The 6,000-nt window shown below is 36.3% G+C and overlaps 1 protein-coding gene across 1 annotated transcript in view; it reads left to right on the forward strand.

The window, feature by feature from the left end:
• The window catches only part of ANKIB1 (ankyrin repeat and IBR domain containing 1), a 155,410-nt gene extending 150,341 nt beyond the window's left edge, over positions 1 to 5,069 (forward strand). Inside the window, exons 18-20 of the mRNA NM_019004.2 lie at positions 51 to 162; positions 1,409 to 1,545; positions 1,898 to 5,069. Of these exons, the coding sequence (NP_061877.1) occupies positions 51 to 162; positions 1,409 to 1,545; positions 1,898 to 2,635 (987 nt within the window). The 3' untranslated portion in view covers positions 2,636 to 5,069. The remainder of the gene's footprint in view (positions 1 to 50; positions 163 to 1,408; positions 1,546 to 1,897) is intronic.
• The last annotated feature ends 931 nt before the right edge of the window (positions 5,070 to 6,000 follow it).

A 6,000-nucleotide genomic window follows, 5' to 3' on the forward strand; every position in this document is an offset into this window, starting at 1 on the left:
TTTTAAAAATTGCATGCTCTCTTGTATTTTATAACCTTTGGTTTATGCAGGAATATGCTGAATTTCAGTATCGGAGGAGGCACAGACAACGTCGTCGAGGAGATGTTCACAGTCTACTCAGTAATCCTCCAGACCCTGATGAGCCAAGTGAAAGCACTTTAGGTAAGTCCTTGCATTGAGTATGGTTTAATCTCATAGCTCCCCTGAATTTATCCTTCAAACTGGCTGATGTAAATTTTTGTGAACGAGTTTGTCATTTAGATATACAATAAATATGCAGATGTTTCTGTTGTGACAGGACACAGAAAATCAGAGGAGTTAGGAGCATGGTCTGTGGAGTTAGGCAAACTTGGATTCATGACCCCATCTCTGCTGCATATTAGCTGTGTAACCTAGTCAGGTCACAACCTCTCTAAGGTTGTTTCCATATTCTAAAGACACAATAATAATAGTGCCACCTTATAGGCTCATTGTGAGTATTAAATTAGATAATGCATCTAAAACACTTAAGCACCTAGTGAAGCACTCAGTTAATTGTAGTATTGATTGATACTGTTTTGTGTTCATGGAATATTTGTCTCCTAGCCTTAGTTGTCCTGTAGACATTATTTAAAAGAGAGAGAATTTCTGGCATTAGAGATAAATTATTTTAATTATTCAACTTTTAAATGTTAAATTATTAAGTGAAAATCTTCTGACTATAATGTCAGGATCAATGGGACTAAAGATTTGCTCTTCAGACTATTGTAATTCCCAAATTATTTAATTTTAAGAAATCTAAAAATGAAAAACGTTTATTAGTTATTGCTTAACAAAAAAAGAGAAATGGATAGTAGCACTTGCATTTATGAATAGAACTATATAGACTGCAAGCAAAAGTGTAAAAAAGTCAGCCAGGCACGGTGGCTCATGCCTGTCATCCCAGCACTTTGGGAGGCCAAGGTGTGCGGATCACAATGTCAGGAGATGGAGACCATCCTGACCAACATGGTGAAACCCTATCTCTACTGAAAATGCAAAAATTAGCCAGGCATGGTGGTGCACATCTGTAGTCCCAACCACTCGAGAGGCTGAGGCAGGAGAATCGCTTGAACCCAGGAGGCAGAGGTTGCAGTGAGCCAAGATTGCGCCACTGCACTCCAGCTAGGTCGACAAAGCAAGACTCCATCTCAAAAAAAAAAAAAAGTAAAAAGTTACGGATTTGAAGTGATAGTATCATATATATATTATTCTTCATGGTAAGACAAATATGGATGAGAAATCCCAGAAAGATTAAGTGAACATGTCAACACAGGTTTTCCCCAGCACTGAAAGAGAAATTGCCCATCTAAACAACCAGATGTATGAAAAAAATAAATAAGTCTTATTTGTCACTAAATTGTCTTTGGTACCAATTGCTTTGAAACAGATATTCCAGAAGGCGGCAGCAGCAGCCGCAGGCCTGGCACATCCGTGGTAAGTTCTGCATCTATGAGTGTGCTGCACAGCTCTTCCCTGCGTGACTACACCCCTGCCAGTCGCTCTGAAAACCAGGACTCTCTTCAGGTAGCCTTTCTGAACAGCCTCATTGCCTGTGCTTTTACTCTTTCTCTGCTGAGTGTGGTTTCCTGTTGTTACTTTCATCGCTTTCCTATTTCTTCCTTCCATTCTAAAATCTTTGTTTTAAAGATGTGCTGCAGGAAAAGATATTCCTATATTTTAGATTTATTTTAAGGTATGTTTTTTTTTTCCTTTAGCATGGGCATGGAGAAAAATACAAGATTTTAGTAGATAAAATAATTTTTCTGTATAAATAAAATTAATAATCTGTTGGTAAAGGAAGAATGGTAAACCTGATTGAGTTAAATCAGTTTTTTTCAGTCAAATTTTAAAGTGGTTTTGCTTTCTGTTGCTTCAGGCTCTGAGTTCCTTGGATGAAGACGATCCCAATATACTTCTTGCAATACAGTTATCACTGCAAGAGTCTGGGCTGGCCCTCGATGAAGAAACTAGAGACTTCCTCAGTAATGAAGCATCCTTAGGTGCGATAGGCACTTCTTTACCTTCCAGGCTGGACTCTGTCCCCAGAAATACAGATAGCCCTCGGGCTGCATTGAGCAGCTCTGAGCTTTTGGAACTTGGTGACAGCCTCATGAGACTAGGAGCAGAGAATGACCCATTTTCAACTGACACCCTGAGCTCACACCCTCTCAGTGAGGCAAGAAGTGATTTCTGTCCCTCATCTAGTGATCCTGACTCAGCTGGCCAGGACCCCAACATCAATGACAATCTTCTCGGCAACATCATGGCTTGGTTTCATGACATGAACCCTCAGAGTATTGCCCTGATTCCTCCAGCAACTACAGAAATCAGTGCAGATTCCCAGCTCCCCTGTATCAAAGATGGGTCAGAAGGTGTGAAGGATGTGGAACTGGTGCTGCCAGAAGATTCAATGTTTGAAGATGCCAGTGTCAGTGAAGGTAGAGGAACCCAGATAGAAGAAAATCCTTTGGAAGAAAATATTCTGGCGGGGGAAGCAGCATCTCAAGCTGGTGACAGTGGTAACGAGGCAGCCAACAGAGGAGATGGTTCAGATGTTTCAAGTCAAACACCTCAAACCTCAAGTGACTGGCTTGAACAAGTACATTTAGTGTGAACTGCACACATCTGGGCTCTAAATGAATTACAGGTACAGATGGTATGCTAGGTGGAGTATGCTTGATAGAGACTTTGATTCACTTAATTCCAACTCAGTGATAAACCACTGACATTAGGGTTGAATACAGAGAAGTTCCCTTGAATGGTAGCTTCATTTTTTATTTTAACCTTACAGGGAATTTCCTTTGTACTTAATTGAATAGCTTTTCCCCTTTTTGCTGACAAAAAGAAGAGCAAGAGAAAGAGAAACAAAAATGAAATAAATAAGTTGTATTCCACACTCTAAGAAAATGCAGTCCTCTATTTAGCCTAGGCTTGACAATACTTAAATTGAACATTTAAACTAAAGGCTTACTCCCTAATCTTTGGGTGGCTTTCCTTTAAAAAAAAAAAAAAAGTTTTCTTCATTCTAGAAATTTATTTTGGATAAATCCGATAACATATATGTCCTCAATCTCTTTGTGCTCTTCCATAACTTACTTCCTTTTTGTCTGAGCAATGTGAATTGAAGTCTCTTTAGTACCACATCTACCATAGTGTAATTAGTTTTAATTTTCACATGAATCAAAGGTTTCCTTTCATGTCTATTTACAGTCCAATTGTGCCAAACTCTTACTTGTGTGCTGACTAACAAGGCATTTAGGTGTGCAGCATCCTAGAGTGCTCCAGGGCAGTGTCAGCGTTCTCGGGAGTAAAAGGTGCCACTTGGTAGCAATGATATTCCAGAATTAAATGGGTTTTTGTTGCCATGGAGACTGCATTTATATAAATGTAGCCTGTAGCTTAAGTTAACTAAACCTAATGCTGCTGTTAAAAACAGTTTATTTTAATATTAAAATACAGTTGATTAGCAACAGCGGTGCTGTATTTTAAGAGACACTTTATTGGAAGTGCAATCATAGTTATTTGTTTTCACAATTTTACAGTGCATTCTAATTACTGATGGGTGCAATTACTTTTAATCGTGTTTTATAAAATAGAAAAAAAGTGGAGTTTTCATGAGTTATAGTAAATCCCACGATTATTAAGAAATTCAGTAAAACATCCTGCGCAACATGTTACCGTGCCTTTGCCTAACCTAAATGGATAGTTGCCAGTTAAATAAGTGAGTAATTCAAATTTCAATGTCTCTTCTGAAGTAACTATGCTATGAATTGCAAAGACCTCCATAAAACCACCCATGGCCTTGCTTTTACACTAACTATAACAACTAAATGTTCAATCAGTTTGTTTGCCTAACTAGCAAATGCTGACATGTGTTTGTTCTACTGCGCAATACTCATTTGCTGTGTGATTACTGTTTAGTGTTGAAAAAAATCAACTTCCTAGTTATCAGTGTCTTACTGTGAAGAAAATACTGGTCTTAGTTGTAATTAGGATACAATGGTACAGTGTGTAATTAAAACTAGAGTAAACTGTTGGAATGGCTGTTTTACTTAAATATTATCAAAACTAGCATAACATAAGCAAAATAGATAAGTACAACACTCCATTTAGTGTTTTGCCAGATTGTTACCAGAAGTCTACAGATACCAAACTTTCAGTTCTGAGTTTGTACAGGCAAGTCCTGGGCTGGGTAAAAAGTTATATTAATATTGTTATCCACAAGAGATGTGATTATGGGTTTTGATTACTTTTTTTTTTTCCAAACCCTGCTTTTGAAATATCCTTGTACTTAAAATTCATATTGCTAAGACACTGTATTAGAATATTTAATATTCCCCAGATCCTCTTAGGATAAACTGTGGGAATCCTCCTATGCCATGGATATCAAAGGTCCACATTAGTTTTTATTTCTCCAGTGATCAGAAACATTGATATCAATCCCTATTAAATTAGTGGGGGGAATATTAACTTTATCTACAGTGTATTACTGTATATTAAACTGAAATAGTCCATTAAAGGATTTTTTTATAAATTTATTTTGGATTAAAAATATCAACACCAATAAGTTTTTAGACCAAGTTGTAATTTTTCCAATATAGAGTCTTTGCATCACACTGAGGCATCTTGCACAGCTGCAGTTAAGGTGAGAAAGAATGCTCTGTGTGAAGACAGTGTACACAATGGGTTCCGGTTTCCTTGCACCTTGTGCAGTATCCTTTATTTCTGTGCTGTTCTCTCCTGAGCATGAAAAATGATCATTATCCAATTTGTATTTCCTTGGTACATATTTTAAAAACAACACAGTCATTGACTTTACAATTCAGTAATGAAGTTTGGCAAAGCCTATTTTGTAAACAAGTTAATTTTATAATGTAAAAAAAAAAAGTTAATCTAACCTTGACTTGTTATTTGCACTTTCATAGTCTATACTTGATACATTCCCACTTTATATACAGTAGGATTCTACAAACGTGTAGATGTTTGGCCAAATGAATGCTGTTAATAATATGTAAAATTCTTTGATTAAACATTTATTACTTAAACTACTTCCATTTTGTCTCATTACATTGTAGACTTTGTTTTAACCAAGTCAGAAAGCTGATTTTCTTCAAATTAAATCCCTCCAATGTGATGGGATCAATTTGGTTCTTACATGTAATTGATTAGTGCCTAATATTTTTACACTAGCCACTTACTGAGCATTTTATATCCCAGTTATAAATATGAAAACACTGCATGACAATGTGTTAAAACATTATGACATCAGTGCTCATTTTATTGACATCACTGTAGCTTTCAGGAGAAAAATGTTATTTTTTCTTGAACTCTAATAGAAATACATAGAAAAATAACTTTAAGATATGTTTTGTGAAATTGCTTAGGAAAGAAAAAAATTTTATGCCATGTGAATAAAAATGCCTGCTTCTCTTTCACTTTATTATTGTGTCCCTTATGAGTTACCAAAATAACCCATGACATTTGACCATGCCCCAGCTGGTGCTTCATGGGGTCTGCTGGTGATAATCATTTAAAGTGGCGTCATCTTATTTATGCCTTTCATTATGTGGATCTGAAGCTTAACTACCAATGTTCATAGGCTGAATTATTCCTTAATTGTTGTTCATTACAGCCACTGATCTCATTTTTTATCTCCTTTGAGTCCTCAAATATTTATCATTTACGTGTTATGAATTAAAATCTGGAATTTATTAAAGTTTGATCATAATTTAAAAGCAGTGATAGTATATCTCTGAAGAGTAAAACCTTGGAATCTAAATATTAAGTGATAATACAAACTTTGGGGGTGTTTTAAGGCTGAAATAACTCCAAAGGAAAAAATTTTTCATGCAGTCAGCTCTTGGACTGAGTAGTAGGTTTTTTTTTGTTTGTTTTCTTTGTTTTCTCTTCTGAGAAAAACAAAGGATCTTACTCTGTCGCCCAGGCTGGAGTGCAGTGATGTGATCATAGCTCACTGCA

The sequence above is a fragment of the Homo sapiens genome, chromosome 7 (assembly GCF_000001405.40).
Source record: "Homo sapiens chromosome 7, GRCh38.p14 Primary Assembly".
Lineage (NCBI taxonomy): Eukaryota > Metazoa > Chordata > Mammalia > Primates > Hominidae > Homo > Homo sapiens.